The sequence below is a fragment of the Homo sapiens genome, chromosome 2 (assembly GCF_000001405.40).
Source record: "Homo sapiens chromosome 2, GRCh38.p14 Primary Assembly".
NCBI classification, from domain to species: domain Eukaryota; kingdom Metazoa; phylum Chordata; class Mammalia; order Primates; family Hominidae; genus Homo; species Homo sapiens.
In genome coordinates, this window is record NC_000002.12 from 30965415 (window position 1) to 30989339 (window position 23925).

The 23925-nt window shown below is 48.9% G+C and overlaps 1 protein-coding gene across 13 annotated transcripts in view; it reads right to left on the minus strand.

Annotated features, from left to right (window-relative positions):
* Positions 1-23925, minus strand: part of GALNT14 (polypeptide N-acetylgalactosaminyltransferase 14) — a 251659-nt gene that overhangs the window by 78633 nt on the left and 149101 nt on the right. For all 13 annotated transcript variants that reach the window (XR_007081588.1, XR_001738943.2, XR_001738941.2 and 10 more), the window contains one exon: positions 790-888. Coding sequence is in view for 8 of the 13 variants with exons in the window: in NM_001329097.2 (NP_001316026.1) it covers positions 790-888 (99 nt within the window). In the remaining 5 variants the exon portion in view is untranslated. The remainder of the gene's footprint in view (positions 1-789; positions 889-23925) is intronic.

The following is a 23925-nucleotide window of genomic DNA, read 5'->3' on the forward strand; positions in this document are numbered from 1 at the left end:
GGGAGGGAGAAGAGGACAGATGACTTCTGGAGGGGAGGGCGGGCATGGGGGAAGGGGGGTGAAACAGCCAGAGTCTTTGGAGAATCTGGGGGAGGAAATCCTGGGTAAGCCTTCTGGGTGCAGGTCTATGTTCTGAGGGGAGTTCTGCTAGGGACTGGCACTGGGACTTGGGCACATCAAAAACCCACGCAGGCCAGAGGCCATCCATAGCAGGATACACCTATTAGAGCAAGAACACGACCCAGAGGATGAGTGGACTGAAGCCCAGGGGAACGGGGATGGAACTGCAGGTAGATGGTCAGGAAGGCAAGCCTTAGTGATTGCTGCAGGCCGTTCTGATTTGCATGGCCCCTGGCAAGTGTGTGGGAGGGCAGAGAATCAGGGTGCTGGGTGCTGACCCAGCCTGATGCTGGGGCTGGGGTGTGCACTCAGCCTTTCAGGGCCTCAGCCCCTTCCTCATTTGTGGAAGTCAGAACCCATGCTCTAGAGGCAGCCTGGCAGAGTGGGGAGGCCGAGGGCTCTGAGGCTGCTTCTTCTACTTATTCTCTTTGACCTTCTGCACGTTACCTAACACCACAGGCCTCTGTCTTTCTATAAAATGGGATAATAGCCTCCCTTACAGGAATGTGAGGAGTGACTGAGTGGACACATGTGACATATAGAATAGTGCCTGGCACGTAGTTAGATGTGTCTGGTGCTCCTAGTACAGCGCTGGGCACCTGGGGAGCAGACACACTGTCACCAAGTGCTGGCCCAGAGCTGGCCAACAGACAAGCAAGGATGCCTCACCTGCGGATGGTCCTGAGCAGCGTGGAGCGGGCCTCGTTGTGGAAGGTGATGATGATGCTAGTGGGTGGAAGGTCCGTGCAATACACCAGCAGTGTGCATCTGGGGAAGGAAAGGCACAGGGCAAGTGAGACCTTCAGGGACAAAGCATATCTGGAGGGCTAGAACCGAGGGCATCTGGGTGGGCATCCCTATGCCAGATGCTTGATATCTAGAAGGGCTTCCCCAGCTGCAGAGTACTAGGTAAGACCCCACGGCTTCACCTGGCCCTAAGAGGGGCTGGGGAGCTCCAAGAATGACTAAATCTGAATTTTCTACCACCTTGGGGGAACCTAGGCTTGGAGACGAATTGAGTTGATATACTGAAAATAAGTGTGGTATTTCTTGCATGCCTGAGCCAGTGCACAGTGGCTCCTGGTAGCTGCATGAACACAACCCCAAGTCGGGCTCTGCTTCCCACTCTCTACCCTTTCAGCCCATCTGCCCACACCACTGGCCAGTGGGTAGATTCCAGTCGGCAGAGGCTTCACTGTGTTCTGGGCTAACAGCTTCAGGCTACCATGTTGTGCTGACGCCCAGCCCCTGCAACACACACCTAAATGTGGCATGTAAAAGAGGCAGAGCCCCAAACCCTGGTATAAGTGATAAAACCCCATCTTGAAAAGGCATTCACTTCCATGTATCCAGGATTATTTCCTATGACAATTACATCTGGGGTAATTTCAATTTAATACCTCGCTGCAAGTGAAAATTGTAGCCTGCAGCTTGAAAATTACTATAATAATGAAAATAAACCCGCCAAGTGAGGCTGGTGGCACCAGGGGCTATCACTGGGTAAATGCTTCCTCCTGTTTCTTGCTATTTCGGGGGATGTTCAATTATTGCGGGGAGCTGGGGGATATTAAAAGATGAAGTAAATAACAGACTTTAGGGAGTCAAATATTTGCTTTTTTCATTATCTATTTTTTTCCTAGGCCTGGGGCTTTTAATATAGGGTTCAGAGACCCAGGGATGGACTTCAAGGGACACGTGAGCCCTCTGAAATTGTTTGCAAACTGTGTGTATAAATGTGCATTTCTTTTCCCCTGGAAAGATAGTTCATAGTTTTCACTAGTCTCAAGAAAGTCTGTGGCCTAAAGCATTTAAGATCCTTAGTCCTAGGCTAATGGCCCTGGTGTCATGTTGGCCTCTCAGATAACTCTGATCAGTTTTTTCTATAGGGGCATAGGCTGAAGGCTCATGGTGTCGGTCCAGAGAACTTATTTAGAAAAAGCCAGGCAGCTCTGATCAGGACTCAAGCATGGGCTGGGCGTGGGTCATCCAGGAGGAGCCAAAAGTTAGGGAAGGAAGGCCCCAGGAGCAGAGATGGTGGAAAAGGTAAGTCTTGTCCTTCAAGCCTGTCCTCTCTGCCAGAAACAATTTCTCACCATGTCCTTTTGCCCCACCTCCTGAATTCACCCCTCCTCTCATGCCCATGGCCTCTCAGACAGTCCTTTTTTCTCAGGGGAGCACTGCAGCAGCTTCCTGACCCATCTTTCTGCCTTCAGTCTCTGCCCCTGCCAGTCATGTCCTGTCCACCACATAGCTCTGCCAAAGCTTCCTCTGGTTTGAATCCCTCCAGCAGTTCCTGATGTATGAAGTCCAAACTCCCTATCACAGCCTTCTACACCCTTCAAAATCAGTCTTGTATGCTGCCATGACTCTCCACCATTGCTCATGCTATTACCTCTGCATGGAGCAACGTCCTTTCTCCTTCCTCTACCTGAGGACTCTTATTCAACCTTCAAGACCCAGAGCAAATGTCCCCTCTGCTGTGAAGGTGTTCCATACTCCCCCAAATAGGTAAGGACCTGTCCTTTGTGTTGCCATCATTCTGTACATAACTCTTTTCTCGCAGTTCTCGTGATGAGACTCTCCTCAACTTGACTGTGAGTTCCTCCAGGGAAGGCCCATGCCCTTGTCCATCTTTACATCACTAGAACAGGGTTTAAGTATACCAGTTGTCCATTGATAGAGAAAGGGAGAAAGTAAGTCAGGAAGTGCGTTCCTAGGTCAGCTGAAGACAGCCTCTTCTAGCTTTCTAAGGTGTGACAGCCAGCCGCCGATGGCTGCCACTGATCTTCACTAACTGGGTTTTATGTCCTTGTGTAGCCCCTCCCTCACTGAAGCAGGGCAGCTCATATGACCCATAGAATATGGTAGAAGTGACGGTGTGTGTCTCCCAAGGTTAAATCACAAAAACATTGCAGGCTCTGCCTTGGCCACTTGGAGGGAAGCCAGCTGCCATGCTGTGGGGACACTCGAGCAGCCCTGTCTACGGAGAGATGTCCAGGTGGAGAGGAACTGTGGCCACCTGCTGAAGGCTGGCACCAACTTGCCAGCCACATGAATGAGTCACCTTGGAAGTGGGTCTGAAGCTCCAGTCAAGCCTTCAGATGACAGTGGCTACAACAGACTTCCAACTGCAGTTCAATGAGACTCCAAGCCAGAACCACCCAGCCAAGATGCTCTGAATTCCTGACCCACAGACACTGTGAAGATAATCGATGATTCTTGTTGTTTTACACCACAAAGTTTAATCAGGAGTGATTTGTTGTACATTAGATAAGCAGTAGAAAAAGGGAAGGAGAATGCCTTGAAACAGCTCCCAGTGAGAAGAGACCTTGGCCTTGCTTATCTTTGGACACAGACCTGACTCACTTAGGAGCAGAGGAGAGGGAGGGCATTGCTCGTAGGTAGTTGAGGTGGAACCAGGGTTGAGGGAGACCTGGAGGGAGTGTTAGCTGGCAGGTGGCAGGTCTGTGAGAGCATGGAGGGGCTTGGAGAGGCCCAGGCAGAGGGGAAGGAGCCAGCATGGTCAGCCCCAAGAGGAACAAGTGGATGTCAGGGAGGAGGGCCAGCATCTGTCTCTCTAACAGGAGGCAACAAGTCACAGAGCTCAGCAGAGCCTCCTGGTCTCTCCATAAGAGACAGCAGAGGAAAAAGAGCCCAAGCAGAGTGACTCAGCAGCCTGCCACCACCAGGACCGGGTGTGTCCAATGGCCAGGCCTGAAGCTGCTCCTGGCTGCTGTGGTCCCTGCTATGGGGAAAGATGCTCTGAAATCCCTCATGGGGTTAGGACGAAGGCACTGCCTTGGGGATGCTTCCTATTCCACATGCTGGGAGGCAGGGGGACCACACACCCCAGCTTTTGTGGTACAAGTTACTCAGGGGCAAGTTGGGGAGGGAGGTGGTACTGAGAGTTATCTCCTTTGAGAGCTTTTGGGGACAGGGGCCATTTGTCCTGCCTTGGAGGACTAGCTGAGGAGGCAGGTATATTGACCACAGTGACACAGATGCATGCACACACGCAGTTACGCAGAGGCATAACTCTGCCTGGAGTGGCAAAGATGGCTTCGTGGAGGAGGAGCTGCTGGATCTCATGGGGGTAAAGTAGGGAGGGACAGACAGAAATGGGGCACAGAATTCCAGTCATGGGCACAGAACTAGACCTACAGACCACGTGAGGCAGTTCCCAGAATCCTGGCTTGGGGGATCAGGATACCACTGACCAGCTGTGGGTACGTGAGCCAATCACCCACCTCTCCAGCTTTCCATCTGCTCCTCTGTAACACGGAATGGGCCCAAGGCTCTCCTGCTAAATGCTCTCACAGCATCAGCTTTCAGAAGCTCTGACCATAGCTAACATTCAATACGCATGGTTAGGAATGTCACAAATGCCATTTTGTAACTGAGGCTCAGTTGTCAATGGGCATCCGACATTACTTTCCCAAGCCTCAGTTTCTTCATCTGGAAAATGGAGATAACAATTCTGGAAGATTTTCTCCCTTAGACTATTACTATGTTAGGTGATTACATAGTGCCACGTTAGATGCTTGACAAATAGTAACTATTATTATTTTTAGCATCGGCCCAAATCTGCAGACGACTCTGCCTGCTGGGTGGAACCAGATCTCACAGGGGCTGGAAAGGCATCTTTGCTGGGGGGTTCTGTCCTGTCCCACAAGCAGGTAAGGGGCATTGAGAGGCAAGAGGAGGAGCAGAGATCAAAGGATGCAGCGTCAATGTGAGTGAAAAGAACCTGGGCTCTGATGCCTGCATTTGAGTCTGGACATGTCGAGAACCAGCTGTGTGCCCTTGGACACATCATTTACCCTCTCTGAGCTTCAAGACTGTTCCCTGTAAAATGAGGATAAATACACATTTTTGTTGTGAAGACTGCAGATGATGCACGTAAGCACGTGGTGTTTAAAGGGTGCTGAGGAAATGGAAGCTAGAATTGCTATCATCACGCCCAGAGAGTGGGTGAGCCGGCCCGCACGCCAGGTTCAGCTCATCGACTAGAATCACAAGCTCATGGTTTAGAAAAGGAAAGGACCATGGAGACGACGCAGTTAAACCTCCTAAACTGGGCCCACCTTACTGACACACCAGGTGTGTGTCAGTAATGGCTTACTGAGCCATTGTCCTCCTGGTCTCTGAGACCCCCAGCCTCTGTCCCTGCAGAGTAAAGAACAGGGCTGTACCCTATGAGCTCCTCCAGCACAGGCCCAGGGAGGGCAGGTAGTGGGGTGCCATCCCCCACCTCACAGGCTCAAAAAGCTTCACAGGACTCTCCTCCTGCCCCTGCTCACAGCTCAGGAGCCTGGACTCACCCCTTGTCTCAGGTGACCCTCACAACCGCCCCCACTCCACAGATGAGCTGAACTAAGGCTCAGAATCTCGCTCAAGGTGGCACACCTGCTGAGTAACTGGGGTGAGGGAAATCCACATCCTGTGACTCCTAATCTGGTGCTCGTCCCTACAGTCTCCCTGTGAACTCACCGGGGTTCAAGGCACCTGCCTTGGAGCCCTACACACGAGTCATCTGTGGTCCAAGGACCAAGGGATGAGCATGGGGATAGGCAGCAACAAGGTTGAGAGTCTGAGAAAAAAATCCAGAAAGCTGGACATGGTGAGGAGAGTCGGCCCAGACAGTAGGGTTTCTGTGGGAGAGATCTAAAAGATCAATCAAACAGTGAGATCTATTAGGGGCACGAGGGAATGGAAAACCCTGCCAACACTGAGCTCTGGCGCCAGCAGACAGACGAGCAAGTACGTTGATAATTTATTAAAGATGCAGTGTTTTACTGGAAGAAGAGCCAGTGAGCGGGAAAGATTGGGGGCGGGGTGTGGGGGACACCGAAGAGTCTCCATGAGCCAGGAGGAGACTCTGGTCTCAGCCTCACCTCCTGGGGAAACAGAATCCCGGGATCTCTATACGTGATGGCCACAGCAGCTCATGAGGAAGGCATGCTTTTCTAAGCTGATCGCTGACATGCTGTTTCTTTCTCTTCCATTTTTAATGAATGACTCAGTGAAGACTCTCAATTTTCCCCAACTTGAACTGGGGCTCCAAGGGCTTCCTGCACTGCCAGGCTCTGGAGCATTCAGTGCCACTTACTGTCCGAAAATGCTTCCAGGAAAGTGCTCTGAGATGCTAACCCCAGGGTCTGGGGAGGAGTGGCCCCTCTTTCCTCTGCACAGTCACTGCCTCCTGCTCACCCCCACAACACCCCCCACCCTGCACCTGAATATGTGACAACTTGGCATGTCAGAAACATGCTCAGTGATGGTTGCTGTCAGTCATGGCAGTCATGTCATGATGCGTGCGATGCCTTTTATTTTACCCCACGAGCTCATTACATCCTGGCAGCAGCCTATAACGGAGAGCGTGATGATGATCACTGTCACCCCCATTTCATCAATGAGCAGTCAGGGCTCCCAGTGCTTCCGTGGCTTGTCTGCCGGGGCCAGGACCCAGGCCCTCGGACACCCAGATACATGATCTTCCTCCTGCGGCATGCTGCCTTCATGGGAGAAAAGACTTGGTCATAAATTAGAAACATTCAGGATTTTATTCTCCAGCATGAAACCAGGAGGGAGTGATGGAGAGGCATACCCACTAACTCTGAAGTGGAGAGGAGAGCGTAATTATTATTACTGAAATGTCAGTGTCAAAGAGAAGCCGCTCTGGCTTCTCTGGAATTGACAATGGCTCCGAATCTTAAAGGTGGGCTCTGGCATCCCAGACGGGAGTCTGAAGACAGTTAGAGAATGGGAAAAGGTCAGGCAACTACACAGCACAATGAAATGGAAATCAAACAGGCCTGGCGTGGCGTGGGACACACTGGGACTGAACCTTCGCTGCTTGGAGCTCCCGGTTTACAGTGATGACGGTATCCACCTCCTGGAAAGCTGTTAAACTACTGCTCATTGAACCTTTCTCAGCAGGCACCACGCAGAGCACCTCACATATTTACTGCTCACAGTAATCCTATGAGGCTGCTACTGGTTTACAGATTCACTAATGAGGAAACTGAGGCACAGAAAGGCTGAGGAACTCACTCCAACTAGCAAAGGGAATTTGAACCAGGCCTGCTGGACTCCAGCGTCCTCGTCACATGTTGTAATACCTCTGAACCAGGACTGTTCCAATTGTGACTCAGGTCTATTCTGTGGCCTTGTACACTGTGTATACTCACATGCCCACTCTTGAATGACCACCCGAAGAGGCGGTTTCTACTGAGCTCTGGAAACCAGCAGGTACAGCGACCTGTCCAGGAGGGAGGGACTGGCTGCTGCTCCTGGGTGGTAACAGGAAGATGGGAAACCGCTGGTGGGCTGCCACGGGTACATCCTAAACAGGGGCTTCCACTGGAGTCTGATCAGGTGGGCGAAGATGTGACCTCAGCAAGGCCCTGGGTGAGGTGATTCATGCACATCTATTACTAAACAAAAAGCTATGTTGACCTAAATAGAAATTAGGATTTCCTTCCAAGTCCTGCACTTCCAGCACACATTGCAGAGGCCAGAGCCACAAAGAGAAAATGAATGGGTCATTTTCATCATGTTCCATTTTCCCTAATTTCCAGGGCCAGAAAGGCAAAGAGAAACACAAACATAAAACATAAAGTGGGAATGGGACCAACTTCCTGGGAGAGAGCTCTCTGTCCCCATGGAGGTGACAATCTATGGATCCCAGGTGCAGGTGGCGTAGGCACATCTTTCCCTCCTCCACATCCCTCCATCACTCCATCACCAGTGCTAGCACAGATGGCTTTGTAGACAATGCCTCATCCCTTCCTTTCCTCACCACCAGCCCCAACTCAGAGCCAATGTGTGTGAGGAAGAAAGAATGAGCGGAGAAAAGCTCTTGGCCAATGACCTTTCCAGAACGTCAGTTATCTCAGCACTCAGGGCAGTGATCTTGCTACTGGCTTTTAGAATCACAGATTTCATTTTTAGATCTGAGAACATCTAACACCTCCACAGCTCAGATCTATGTAAGGAAGCCTGCTCTCAGCTATGAGGAAAAATATAAAATGCCGAATCTGTGGCTGGCCCCTTGGTTCAAACTGAACCCTTTAGAAGAGAAAAATGCAAGCAGTATGAAAAGTATGACAACTATAAAATCAAAAATTCCTTTTAATCTCATTTCATGGGCAACACTGATACACTGTAAGGAATGAAATTTTTGCTTCATGTCAATTTTGCTGGGATTTCACATGCAGATTAATTCGTTCATTCACATAAACATATACTGCTCTTATTCTTGCCTCAATAGCCACCCTCACTTTGGTTACAGAAATCCTGTGTCTCAGAAAAGACCCTTAACATAACAGTGAGATTCGCTATTCCATTATATCACCACCTTTGAAGTGCTGAACATATTATTAATTCCAGTGGTCTAGAAAGGGAATAAGTGGGTCAGAATAGAGAAGTGAACTGCTTAGGAACTTGGTCGGGTGCTCTGGTGGGCAGCTTTCAAAGAGTTCCCAGTGCCTACCTCCTTTAACCTCTAACACTAACCCTGATGAGCATCTTCTCTTGAATGACCCCATGAGATGACCTTGTCATCCACCCTCTGCTTCCCACACCTCAGCCAAGCCTGCTGACCCTCCTGAGTTCCCCAGCTCACTATGCACTATGTGCCAAAACCAAGAGATATTCTCTAATCCTGCCTCTTTCTGCCCCAGACCCAATGTGATTAAATGTAGTCTTGTGCATTTGTCTTCTTTATCTCTCCATCTGGCTGTTTCTCTCCACTTCCATTCTGTCTTTTCTAGATTACTGCAGCAACTTCCTCTCTGGCTGTATCCCTTTTCAATCTACCCTGCATGCTGCAGCTAGAATGATCTTTCCAGAACTGCGTCTTTAACCTCTTTCAATGCTGCTCAACTGCTCACAAAATCAAACTGAGACTCTTAATCATGGCTCACCATCCTTAGTGGCCTGGCACCACTTCTGACTCCTGCCCTCTGCACTCTCAAAGTTCTAGCCACATTCTGCTTCACCTGCTCTTTGTCCCCTCTGGAACTTTGCAAGTGCTGTCTCTCTCCCATATATCTGAAATGCACTCTCCTCGCTTCCAACGCCAGGCTATTTTTTCCTCTTCTAATCTTGGCTTGGAAGTTACTTCCCCTGGGAAGCATTTCAGTCTCCCAAGGCTTTTCCAACGTGCCTCTTTAGGACCCTGTGTTCACCCCATTGCTGTAATTTATTACCAAGCACTGTGAAATTACTTTTCTGTCTCCTCTACCGACTGTTGCTGCAGTGAAGGCAAGGACTTATTTGTAGTTGTAACCTCAATACCCAGGATGATGACTAAACATACTAGACATACGATAAATGTCTGAAGAATGAGTGGAGGGATAAGTGAAGGTGGGAGGCAGGTGAGGCTTACTTGGGGTCAAAGCTGGAGAGGAAAATGTCCTTTGCCAAGCTATGGGTGACACCCTCACAGGGAGCTCCAGAGCAGTAAAAGCTGAGCAAAGGCCAAGGTCAGTGATACAGCAAAGAGAGACCAAAGAAATTGCCCAAACTGAAGAAGAATCTGGAAGCTGAAGTATGGAGCCATGAGTTGGGGAGGGGGCTGGCGATAAGAAGCCTTGGGCTAAGGGTGTCCTGGGGAATATCAGGTGGCATCTGGTGTCCGTGGAGAGGTCTTAAGTTTTGTCTGTTATGCTGGAAATACTCAACTGTGTTTAAAAGGCTGGGATGTTCTTGTTTACCAAAGTTCCAAGAATGATGAAAAATGTCGATGATGAAGCAAGAGGGGAAAGACTGAAGCCTTCGACAGACTGAGGCCCAGACACCCTCTTCTCCTAGACATGCATTATGCAGTAGGGCAGCCATGAGCCACATGCAGTTACTGAGCACTGTAAATGTGTCTGCTCTGAATGGAGATATGCTGTAAATGTAAAATATGCCCAAGATGTCAAGCACTTAGTATGAAACAAAGGTGAACTATTTTACTTATCTTTTTTAAAATTGATCACATGTCAAAATGTTAGTATCTGGATACATTGGAGTAAATCAAATCTATTACTAAAATTAATTTCACTTCTTTTACCTTTTTTAATGTGACTACTGGAAAATTTTAAATAATATGCAGCTCACATCTATTTCTATTGGAAATCATTGTCCTAAGTTGTCCCTGAACTTTAATTGGTATATAATACAAATTAAAATTTCAATGTTACTGCTGGATAATGGTTTCTAGGTCTTGGTTTTCTGGTATGAGTAAAATAAAATAAAAACATTATAGAGACAGTAATTAAGTTCGTGACATTTTACTTTGTGAGAAAGTATGTATTTTTAAAATCCCATCATTTACCATCATCATCATTTCAAAAAGAAAGAGTATTTAAACACCAGAAAAGGCCACAATCTCAGAATAATTAACAACTCTTTAAATTGTAAAATTTAGCTTGAAATTGTAAAATTTAGAAAATCTCCCTCCTGTCTCCTCTCTTCCCCAATTCCATGGATCATACCTGCATTCATTTACCAACTGGCATCTGAAAGAACTGTTCAAGGGTTTGTTCCACTGAATTATGACAAGCCTTTGACTACTCTCAGCAAAAAACATAATTACTGAACACAGAAGGCCAGACATCTCCCACTCTTTGTTCTGGAACCAGCAGATCCATCTCAGCTCTCAGTGCTGCTCAGGATAGCAAGTTGACAGGGTTTTTCAATCTCTGGCCCCAATCTACCTCCTCAGGCAGTTCTGCTGCCTGTACTGACTCGTGCAATCTGGGCTCAGAAGGACCACATGACTTAAAGAACGTAGACTCCTCTGGCTGCATTTAAAGACCTCCTAGAAATGGCCATTACTCCAATGCACCAGGATCCTTCTGTTTTTCTAAACAACTAATCTTGATCTTTTACATTGCCTAGCCCCTTCCAAGTGAGTGGAACACTGAGGTTTGGTGGAAACCCTGGGGGAAGTGGCAGCTTCTGCTCTTCAGGAAGATCAGCAGATCTATGGAGGCTGCAAAGAGGTTTCTCTAGGGACACTGGCAGGACCTGTGTTAGCCGGTACCAAGCACCACCCAGACGGCAGCTGTGTGTGCATGTGCGTGTGCGTGTGTGTATGTGTGTGTGTGTGTGTGTGCAAAAAAGAATCTTCTCAAAAGGCAAATGCAGAGCCTAGCTGGGACAGAAAGTGTGGAGTTGGGCCAAGACTTATTTTTGAAATGTTTCCTAAAAAAGATACCTTGGTGTCTGGGACCAGAGCTCCTTCATGTCTTATTTTAGCCCTGCTCAAATCACATCATACAACAGTAATAATAGATGACACAATTGAATCCTCACTCTGTCTCAGGTATTCTTCCCAGAGCTTTCAGCCTGCACAGTAACTCCCCGAGGTGGGTGCTGCAATTCCTCTTCTCATGGTGGTGGAGAGGGAAAGTCACAATGAGTGAGTGGTGGGGCCTCAACATAAACCCAGATGGTCTGGTTCCCCCCTACCAGTCGGTGCCCTCACGAGCTCCACGAGAATGCCCTTTGAAGATTATCCACACTCACTGCCTCTGAAACCTTTATTCCATATTGGCTTTTCTGTCTTTTTTTTTTTTTTTGAGACAGGGTCTCACTCTGTCACCCAGGCTGGAGTGTAGTGGCACCATCTTGGCTCACTGCAACCTCTGCCTCCGGCGTTCAAGCAATTCTCATGCCTCAGCCTCCAGAGTAGTTGGGACTACAGGCATGCGCCAGTATGCCCAGCCAATTTTTTGTATTTTTAGTAGAGACAGGGTTTCACCATGTTGGCCAGGCTGGTCTCGAACTCCTGACCTCAGGTGATCCGCCCACCAGGTCCTCCCAAAGTGCTGGGGTTACAGGCGTGAGCCACCATACCCAGCCCTTCTCTCTGTCTTTTATCTTGAACGCTGCATGCTGGAAGATTCTGGAAAGATGGAAAATCATGGGTGTGGGTCATCCCTCACTTGCTAAAGCATAGTATCTCCCCTTGATACTCCTAGAGCTATTTCATGATATTTTTCAGACTTTCCACCTAAAGGATCAGAGAAGCATCATTCCCTCCTTTCACCTGAAAGGGGAAAGTTCCTCCAATTGCAACAGCTATAAGGAGCAAAAGTAAGGCCTGCAGCCAAGGAACTCCAGGAATGTGCTAGACTCAGCACCCTGAGCTCAGGAATGGTCTGTTTGAGGGTCAAGGGTCCTATGCCTCTTCCCCAGGGGACTCACATCCGTGCGCCATTCTGGTCTGAAGCAGGGAGGGAAAAAGCAAAGGCTTCCCATACCTTCCTGCACCTTCGTACAGTCAATCCACCCCTGAGCCAATACTGCACTCAAATCTGCCTCTTTTTTATATCACCAAGCCTGATCTACACCCCTGGTTTGCCCTCCTGCAACAGCTTCCTAACTATTCTTCCCGCCTGCAGAAGAGTCACTTCCAACCACTCCTCCCACCCTCTCCACAGCCGTTCTCTCTTCCATCTTCCTAACACACTGCTCTCACTGTAGGACCCTCTCCCGACCTTCAGAGCCACCTGCAGTTAAACCTTCACCAGCATCTCAAGGCCTCCACCCTCGTGTTAGCTCTTCAGCACCCTGCCCCCACATTCCCTTGCAGGAGCCTTCTGGCCCTGCTAAACCAGCCCAGTCACTGCCCTTGACTGTACCTGTGTCACAACCTCCACAAACCTCCCTAGATTCTGTTACCTTCCCTCCTCCAGCTGCCCAAACTGTCACTGTTGTGCAGTTTCGCTGAAATCACTTCCTCCACCACACTCCACATGGCCGCCTGGTATGACTATTCCCCTTTCTAAATCACTGTGCCATCTTCCTAGGTAACTACTGCCTTCTTGCAGGCAGGGGCCACGTTTCTACTTCTTTAAATTCCTGTGGACAAGTTATTCAAGCTACCGGAGTCAATTTCTTCATCTCTAAAACAAGGGTCATAGCAAAGTTGTGAGGCTGAACCGAGAGAACATATATATGGTGCCTCCCACACATCAGGGGGATGGTATGATCAATACGTGTTTGCCAATTGTGGCGCTGGATTTATGCGTGAACGTGGATAATTCTCTGTTGAGCGAGGATGGTTTTAAATTTCCTGTGATTTGATTTTCTCCCTCTGTTCTGAGGATTCACTCGCTCACCGGCACCTGCACTCCCAATCCCTGATATTTTCAGTAGCTTGAGAAGGAATCACGAGGTGCGCTTTGGGCCCCTATTCACTCAGCTGATACTGATGGACAGTGTGAGTGCCAGGCACCGTGCTAGGCTCAGGAGATGCAAAGATAAGTCAGCATTCCTGTGCTAGCTGCTCAGGGGCTTGGAAGGGTGATAGACAGTAAGCTGATGTCTGCAATGCACAGCAAGGGGTGCTGCTCAGGGTAAGCATAGAGGATGGAGGGGCTGCCAAATTGTCTGAGGGGCAAGCGGTCTTCCTGAAGAAGACACCCTCCACCCAGACTCCCAAAACACAAAAGGGCATCCTGAATAGAGAAAGCAGCAATGATGAGGCCTGAATCCTCACAGCACAGTCGGCACAGGCCATGGCCTGATGGGGGCGGCCTTGACTTCAGGGTTGGGGTGGTGACAGGAGCTGTGTGCCCACAGCATGTGAAGAGTTTCAGGTGAGGAGTGATCCTTCTGCATTTAGAAAGCCAGAGTCAATGAGGAGGGCAGCTAGGGCCTGCCGCAGTCACCCAGACGAGAGGGGGCAGCGGCTGAGTTTGGCAGCAAGATATCTCAGGGAGCAAGAGATATCTCAGAGGAGACAACAAAATGGGAGTGGGGGGAGAGCAGGATGATGCCACAGATCAGGGCTTGGGTGAAAGTCTGAAGGGTGGTGGCACCCGGCCTGAGATGAAGCAGACGGGAGCAAAGAGGGTGTTTGCTACCTTGAGAGGCAGGGCAGGAAGGTGTGGGACAAGGAGTACATGATGCCACCTTATGAGGAATCAAGGAGGAGAGACAGGGAGGAGCAGGGAAGCAGAAGAGACTCAACCACCACGCCAGCTCTGGCCAGGCCACGGTTATCATGAGAGTCAGGAGGGGAGAGCAGTTTGGATAATACAATAAAGTTTCCATGGAGATCAGGGATTCCTCTTGTTGCCTCAGGGACAGCAAAGATAAGCTCAAGGACATTTACTGATCTTGCCCCTCACTAGGCCAGTGGGACCCTCACTGCTCAGTGATCCACAGAGTCCCCAGCGGATTCCTGCTTCCATCACATCCCATTGTGCCTGCTTACTTTGCCAGTCACCTGGGGCCTCACGTGGCCCTCAGCACTCCATCCTGTGTCTGCCACCCTCGGCTCAGAGGTCTCCCTCCCACAGCAGCCCCCACCCAGCTGTCATCTCCTCTCCCGCTCTTTTCATCTCTTGTCAAACACATTTTGTAGTTGCTGGCCCCCGGCTCTAAATCACTCCCTCTGCTGGCCTTGGCTTCCATCCCCAGTATCTTTCAAGCACAAATTTCACCAGATGTGGCACTGCAGTCGCCTCCTCGCTCATTTTGCTTTCCAGTTTTTAAAGTAAGTCTGACATTCAGGCAAATGGAATGTTCAGAGCCAGGAGCCAAGGCCGAGGCCCAGAGCTCTCTAAGGACTTCCCTGCTCACATGCCCTGCACCCAGCCCACCTTGTTCTCAGCTCCACTGTGACTCACATGAGCCGCAGCACCCTGACTCAGAGCTGGAGAGCAGGGTGCAGAGCCTGGACCTCTCTACATTCATCCATGTCACCCGTTTCTCCACCCCTGGCCCTGTTACCTGTCTGCCCTGCCTTCCAGACCTGCTTTGGCCCACAGCTGCGGAGCAGCAGGAAAGATGATGAAACCAGAACTGTTGCTGGTCCTGATGCCCCCTCTTGCCTGGGTGACTGCAGCAGGCCCCAGCTGCCCTCCTGATGCCAGTACTAACTTGACTACTCAGGGCCACAGCTAGCAAACAGTCACCAAGTGCTTACTAGAGGTTAAAGATGAGGCTCGGCATTTGACATCAATTATTTCACCTCACCCTGAGGACCATTATTATTCCCATTTTACAGATGAAGAAATGGGGTCTCTGGGAGTTTGAGTAACTCACCCATGGTCCAGCTAGTAAGTGACAGAGATGTTGTATGTCAAAGCTCACAGGGCTAGGAGACCTAGCCCAGCCACTCAGTCAACCAGTTACGTTGCCTGGGTCTCAGCTTCCTTCTCTGTGAAATGGCAATGACCTCTTCACCCAAAGGGCTACTGAGGACATGAGAAAGAGCTGGGAAAGCACTTCGTGAAGTCCTATAGAAATACAAGGCATGGGCCGAGCGCGGTGGCTCACGCCTGTAATCCCAGCACTTTGGGAGGCCAAGGCAGGTGGATCACCTGAGGTCAGGAGTTCAAGACCAGCCTGGCCAACATGGCAAAACCCCGTCTCTACTAAGATTAGCTGGGCTTGGTGACAGGCATCTAAAATCCAAGCTACTCAGGAGGCTGAGGCAGGAGAACCGCTTGAACCTGGGGGCACCGTGGTTCGAGATTAGGCCACTTCACTCCAGCCTGGGCTAAAGAAATACAAGGCATGAAGAGTCTTACTCTAAGGGCTTACTGCATGGTTCATCCTCTCCTGTAGGAATTATCCCAGGACCTTCGTCCCAGCACAGAGCCTCCTTGAAATTTCCTCAAGCCAATCCTACCAGCCCTATTTCTTCCTGGCAGTAGAGGCACATGTGTTATATCATAAGAGCCAGTGGTTCTTTGAAGCACTTGGGGGCAAATGGTAATGGAACTTGACAGTGATCCAGGTTTTAAAGGGAAGACATCTGTGTGTTTCAGCTCCTTATTCTAGACTGAAAAATGTGGGCAGGTCACCAATGTTTGCAGTCAAACTGCCTTCTACGTGATGTGCCAACTCCAGGAGCAAGCATCTCTGCTGCTGCTGTGTTTAATAGGTCCGGGGCTTTCAGATAAGTGAGAAGACATGTCAAATCAGCCTACATGTGCACCTCAGGCTAGGAGAGGTCTGGTGACCTGCACTGCGTGGAGGGCATGAGAGGGTGGAGAAGGCCTGCATGAAGAAATGGACAAGGTGGCAATAAAAAGGGCTCTGATGCTCTGCAGGGCCCTGGAGTCCTGTTAGGAAGGGAAGTCTGCGAGGGGAAAGAGTAATCCAGGGCAGGGGGAGGGGCACCACTGCCGAGCAGGAGGGCTTCATGTTTCTGGAAATAGCGTCCAACTTACTTAGTACCTAAGCCAGTTTCCGCATGCTTTTACCGGCAGAAGTATTTTCAAACCAGCAGACAGAGCTGGAACTGACCTTAATAAGCATCTCTGGCTTACTTCTCTCATGTTACGTGGGAGGAAACAGACACCCAGGGAGCTGAAGGCATTGTTGGGCAGTATCTTAGAAAGGGCATGCACTTTCGCAGGCTCAGGCCAGTTATTTCTTCCCCTTACTTTATCATGCTGCCTCACAATGTTGGACAAAATGGCAAAAAATATCCAGAAGAAAGGCAGGTTACTGAGGGGGGAACTGACAGCCAGGCCCTCTGTGCCTGGTTCTTGGGCAAAAGGCATAGACAGATGCAGAGAGAAGGGGCAAAACGCTTGCTCGGGTATGCAAACGGTCAAGAAACTTAGGAAAATGTGTGCCACTTCATTGCAGCAGGGAGAGGCAAATTTAAACCACAATAAGACACCACCACTCAGCCTCCTGGTAGGCAAAAATGAAACAGACAGACAATAGCAAGTGATTGATAATGAGGACTTGGTGCAACAGGGACTCTGCTGTAAGTACTTCATTAAATATTTGATGATATCTACAGAAGCTTCTAGGGGTACACCCTACAGAAACACATATGCCTGTTCACCAAAAGACAAGTAGAAGCTTAATCATAGCAGCTCTCGTCATAAAAGCCAAGCTGGAAAAACCCCAAATGAGCACTGATAGTCGAGTAGATATAGAAATTGTAATATATTCTTATAAAGGAATACTACACAGCAATGAGAATAAACAAACTGTGTCTTGCAAAATGTGGCTGAGTTTCATGCACAGAACTTTGAGGGAAGCCAGATACACATGAGTACATACTGTGTAATCCCATTTATATAAAGTTCAAAACCAAGCAACATCAATCTACAGCTTTTGAAGACAAGGTAGCCACGGAGAATTCTGATGGGGCACGGGCATAAGGGTGGCTTCTGGCAAACACAGAATATTCTTTAACTTGATGTAGGTACTTGATGCAGGAACATAGGTGTGTTCTCTTTGGAAAAATTCTTCAAGATATACCTGCAGGAGGTGTGTACTTTTCCATATGTATCTTATATTTCAATAAAAGATTTCCTTGAGAAAAGATGAAGAGAGTTTCTGGTGTTGCGGCAGATTTTGGTTGTGCAAGAAGATTTCAAAAGCCACTGAACTGGGACATGGAAAGCTCATGAAATAGACAAAAGCTGCAGCCAAACTCAACAGTATTGTCTTCTCCACCCCTCCTGTGTTCCCCATAACACTGAGGAGAGCACCCCCGGAATGCAGAGTGCAAATCCAGGGAATCTTCTTCACCCCTCTTCCTCTGTCCTTTAAAGACAGATAATTCAGAGGCGAGAGAACTGATACCACACTGCCCTTGGTGTTACTGAAACCCTGAGTTCACGGGCCAGGGCTTATTTTCAAGGCTAGCTTAAGGGACCATGCCTCCTGTGGAAAGTGATCTGTAAGGTGGGGAGGTACTAGGGGCCTGGGGAGGGTAGTAAGGTAGCTCCCACTTGTCCACCTGAGGGATTTATTCACTGGGGGCATTCAAGTTCCATGAGGGCACACTTTCAGTCTGTTTTTTTTGTTGTTGTTGTTGTTTTTACTGATCTATACTTAATAGTCTTAGACTCAATAATTTGTTGAATGAATTATTCCTGGCAAATATTTAATCCAAATCAGTTTTCCATCCTGGGCATTGAAAATGTCTCTACATCTCTTTCCACATCTCTTTCCCCTGCCTCATTCCCCAGGTAATGTGAAATGTAGGAGGCAAACTTAGGGAGGGAGAAGGGAAATCTGTCCCCAGAACAAAGACCACTTGGTACCTTTCGAAGCCACACAAGGTTCTTCTTGGGTTACCTGCCCACAGGCATTTGGCCCAGATGGCAGAACACCAGATGACACTATTTATTGAATTATATGGCTGAAATGTAGTATTTTAGTACCTCTGGGCAAAGCTAAAATATAATAATCAAACCATCTTAATTAGGAAACCCAGAATCCTCATCTATCACCTCTTCTCTTTCCCCAAATCACAAGTCAAACACACACACACACACACACACACACACACGTATGCACACACACACACACTTTCTCTAACTCAGTGAACTTTAGACATAATAAGAAGTTTTATGTTTGTGACAGAATAAAATAAAATATATGGACCCACAATCTGAAAAATTGATTTTGCATTTCAGCCAAGCATGGACTAGCTGTGTGACCCTGGACAAGTCCCCTAACCTCTCTGAGCCCGGGTCCCCTGACCTAGGTGTGGAGTTAATCTGCTAGTCTTGCTGTTCTGCTCAAGTCTGTGCAGCCCACACTGGTGCTCAGTCTGGAAACCCAGCAGTGAGTCTGGGGATGAAGGACAGAGTCCTTTTCCAGGCCCTATCAGCTCCTTCTCCCCTAAGACTAGCTCCTGCTTCTCACTGTTCCTGCCTCACTTCAGAACGAACTCCCCAGTGGAAGATCCAATGTCCCCACCCTGAGGATGAAAATGCTTTCAGGCCAAGTTCTCATATCAGGCTCTAGCTCCCGGGCCAGCAGCCTGTTCAGCCTGCACTTTGTTTGGGACAGTTGTCCAGCCTTGGGGCAGGGGCACCACTCCTGCCTGGTACTCTTTTCTCTGTCACACTTTGGCTTTCTTCCTACTGGCCATGGTGCTGGCCAGGAATGTGTTATTTAGGGCATGTCCCAGTGTTGCTGTGACAATGAGGCAGTGACAGTGTGAACATGGAAGCATTCCAGGGTTTACTGAATAAACTCTAATCTCCTTATCCTGAATTCAAGACTTTGCCACAACATGTCCCCAAGTTATCTTCCAGAGTATTCTCCTCCATTCCTCCCCTCCATCATTCTACACCCTAAGTAAATTGGGCTTACTCCTATAAAACACTGGCTCTTCTATCTCCTGATATTTCCTTATGCTCTTCCCTCAACTTGAAATGCCTACTACCTGGTAAAATCCTACGTGCCCCACTCGCCAGCACACTAACTGCAGCCCACGCCATCTCCTTCAAGAAGCCTCTGCCTCCCAGCCACGTGTAAATTCCTTCTCCTTCACAGGCCAGCCTAATGCTATTTTGTCTTTTTCACAGGACAGCTCCTAACTCCTGTGCTGTGCTGCATGGCTAAGATGGAAATAACTACACCCAAACCAGGGACAGGGCAGGAGCTGGGTGCCTGAACACTGAGGGCAGGAAATTCGTGTATTAATTCCAAGAGCAAGGGTATGGCCTTAGCGCAATCCACATTTGAGCATCAGGAATTGGTCTCATGTCCATTTCTCCCACTAGGCCATGAGCTCCTAGGGCCCACTAGGCCATGAGTGGAGACTAGTTCCTAACACAGGACTTGGCATATGGCAATTGCTCAATAAATGTGTGGAGTAAAGGAATGAGCAAATGAGTGAGTGAATGAATGAATGAATGAATGAAATGTACAATGCAAGGTCAACGTTAGCAGGAATTCACTAGGAAACAAGGTGCAAGAAAATAAATTAGCTAAGGCAGTTTAGATGAATTCTCATCAGTGTTGTTGACTGGTCCCCTTTTGAAGTCTGAGGAGTTACCCCTTCGGGAAATCTCCCTGAAACTCAAAAAAACAGGCACTCAAAGAACACAGGAGGGGCCTGCAGGCTCAGGATTCAAGGAAATCAGGAGATCAAGACTGGGGAGGAATCCTGACCCAGAGGCCCTTGCTAACTCCTGTGCTTTGCTACGTGGCCAAGACAAAAATAACTACACAGAAAACAGACAGGGCAGGAGCCCCTGTGGCCGTTCCTCCCCTCTTACCCTGGCAAGATGGTACTGCAAACTGCCCCGGGCTGTGGACACAGTTCTGCTACAGAGCCACTTCCAGGATGTCCTGCAACTCTTCCTGCTCTTCCCTTCCTCCCCCAGAGGAGGAGATGCTCTGGAGTGAACTCAGAGATCAAACTCAGATGCTCTGGAGTGAAGGCACTTAGGCCCACTATCAACAGGCTCACATCCTGTATTGAAAAGTGGCACATGGGGGACCAGAATGTCACAGACGGGGAGAGCTTGTTTGCAAAAGCTAAGTATCTGTGATGGGCTCCCCCTCCCCTCCCCTCAGCCTTGGTGTGGAATCACTAACGCTGTGCTGAGCTAGTGGAATAGCCTTGACTCTGAGGGAATATGAACATTTTTTATGCTTTGCCATTCCAGCTGTAAAGATTTTTATCCTATTACTGCTAAGTGACGAGTACAAGGAGAGAAATGATGATGATCTTTGGCAGCCATTCCAACCGAGTAAATAGAAGGAGGGAGAAATGCTACGAGAGGCTGGGCCACTGCCCCTTCATTTCCCAGGAGGAAAAGGAGCCAAGGAAAAATGTCTTCCTGGTGGGATGTATCAAAGTGTAGAATTTTCCCTACAGGCAAGTGATGGGCGCCCCACTGTCTGAGCCATTTAGCACCGCACTGGACAAAGGCTGGGAGAATATGTGGAAGAAAACACACAGACCCAGCCAGGCCAGGCAGAGGTGACCCAATGAGGCTTCCCCGGCTAGAGTTTCCAGCCCATGGCTCACGAGCTCAGTCCACCCTGAATCTGCTCCCTGAAATCAAAGCAACCCCATAATAGGCGCTGCTAGCAAGAACATACATATGCTTTATCAAAATATTCCCTCCCTCCTGGAGGGGTGTGTCTCTATTTGTGGCTGCTTGTCTGCCAGATGTTTTATGTACCACTTGGATAATGGCAAATCCAGCTGTTGTCACCAGAATGGGGTGATGGGATGGAAGTGGGATGACTCGAAAATGAGGACTACTTGTTGAACCGGTCAATGCTTTATGTATTGAAATGTAATTGTGGCTAATAGTTCTCTATTGTATTAAAATGTAATTGTGGTTTTTTCCACTAAAGGTAATGGCAAAAAACGCAATTACTTTTGCACCAACCTAACATATGAACAGCAGAACTCCTCTGGACAATCATCTCAGACTCACCCCAGCTGGAAGTTGTCTCTTCCTTACAGTGAATTCGTTATTTAAAACACATCACCTACCTCCCACCCCCAGTACATGTAGCCCCATTTTATTCATCTTTGTGATCTCACAGGACTTAAGCAGTGACCTGGAAATGAAGTCTCTCCTCTGTGTGAGCAGAATTGTTGACCTCATGAGGGGAAGTTGGAGCTAGGATGTCCCCAGGCAAGCTCCATGTTTTGTTCGATTGAGGTGAGTGGGGGCCAGTGTATGAGTATATATCTGGAATGAAGAGACCATAAATGGAAGAATGCATTCATCTATAATTGTGTGGAGACTTGAGGAATGATGAAGCTTCGAGGTTAGCCAGTCTAACACCTTTATTTCACAGCTGACAAACGAGGCTGAGAAGAGCAGGGATGTGCTGAAAGCCACTCAGGGGTACCTTGTTCTTGCCTTGTCACCTAGCCTGAGACTAGGGATGAAAGGACAAGGTTGCAGCAGAGACATGCATGTCTACAGGCTGACGACAGAGGTTTCCATCTCAACAGTGAAGATCACATCAAATGCATGTAAGGGGTGAGGTGGGCATGGGAAGGTTGCTAAGCCCAAGCATGAATGAGTAGGGCATGCCTGCGAAGCTGTAGAACTTACCTTTTGAGCCATACTGGATGTAGCATCACTCAGTGCCCACTGCCAAGGACCCTGGAAATCCTAAGAAAGGCTCAAAGCCTGCCCCTGTCTTAGCTTCTTCTACTCCTGCCCTCTGCCATCTCACACTCCACATAGACTGGACTGTCTCTCGTAAAATACCGTGGACTTCACAGGCGAAGAACCAAAAGAAAAATGGCTACTCGCTTCCATTCCAGATACGGAAATTAAGCCCCCAGGCCTCTCTGGGCTTCTTTTATCACATGGTGCCCTGCATGGCTTGCTTGTAAGGGGTCCACACCGCCGGTGCATCTGGGGATTCAATCAGCACAGCTGCCTGCTGGGTGAAACTTCTACAGCCTTCCTCCTCCCTCCCCCTCCTCCCCCTCCTCCCCCTCCTCCCCCACCTGCTGCCTCCCACATCATGCGGCATCTTCAGATTCCTGAGCTGCTCACCCCAACACCCGCCCTCCTGGCAGCACTTGCTCTAATGCTCAGCTAATAGTTCTCTGTTTCAGGCACTGTCCAAACGCATCCTATAAATCAGAATCCAATTACTGTGGTAAGAAAATTGGAAGCAAATTTAATAAGCTCAGACCCCTCCCACATGCGGTTTCTTCACCCTTCTTTTTTCAGTAACGAGAACTCTTTAAGGGAAAAGCATTTTTCCTTTAACTCAGAGTCTATTCTCCTGATTCCTTCTACAAGGCCCCTGAGGATCGAAGGGTGAGGAGAAGGGGCTTCCTTTAGCTCCTCTTTTCCTTGCTACACGTAAAGCAGGTGGGAGAGGGTGGTCAATTGCTTTTCCAGGGTTACCCTCCCTTTCATTTGTTCAACATTTATTGAATTCCTATCACACACAAGGAAAGCACTGTAGGAGATGCTCAACATGTTACTCACCCCAGAGGGCAACTGATATCAGTAGGACCTTAGCTGCAAGGCATGATGGGAACACAAAGGAGGCCCACCAGGGGCAAAGACTGTATCAATATGATTGGGTGTCCTCAAGGAACCAGAAGTCCAGAGTGGGCCAATGGCGATGGGGCCAGGAGTGACCCCACAGTAGGAGCTTCTCGGTAGAGGTGATGCCAATTGCTAGGAGGATGGCAGGACATGGAGCCTGTGAATGAAGAACTGGGAAAGGAGGGAGGAGCAAGAAGGAACCAGAGAGGCCAAAGTCTCCGCAGAGCCCGAGACAGAAGTCATGTCAGTGGAGAAATGGAGAGGGCTGTAGTGTGTGGGGGAGGTGGTGGCCTTATTGCAGGGCCTCTACTCTCGACTCAGACCCTCAGCCTTTTGGCTGCACCAGTCCTACCTATGAACTTCACCTGGGCCACAAAAATAAGCCACAGGTACAGGCTGATGCTCTGTGGTTTCTAAACTTGAGCCGGCATCAGAATCACCTGTAGCTCTTGCCGAGACACAATCAGTTCAGATCGCTAAACTCCACCCCCAGAGTTTCTGATCCAGTAGTTCTGGGTGAAACCTAAGAGTTTGTGTTTCTAACAAGTTCCCAAGTGAAGCTGATGCTGGTGGCCTGCTGGTTTGGGGAACCAGAATTTGAGAATAGTTGTTCTAAGTCCCTGCTATTCAAAGTGTGATCCGTGGACTAGCGGCGTTGGTATGACCTGGGAGCTTGTTAGAAATGTGGACTCACGGGCCCCATCTCAGACGTACTAAATCAGATTTTAACAAGATCCTCAGAGGGGTTCTTTGTTTGCCTATTTAAGTTTAAGAAGCGCTTACCTAGAGCAGTGGTTCTTAACCCTGGCTGGGGAGCTTAGAAAAGAGATACTTCAGCTGGTTGGAGTCTGGATATCAGCATTGAAAGAAAGCACCACAAGTGATTCTTGTAAGAAGCCTGGATTGAGAAATGCTATGACCGATGCTAAGGACCAGCACCCCACACTCATGGGGATTTGACACCACTCACTTCCACTTCTCTGGCATTGAACCTGACCTTGAAACCCACCTCTGTTCTCCTCTGCCCCCCTCACCATCC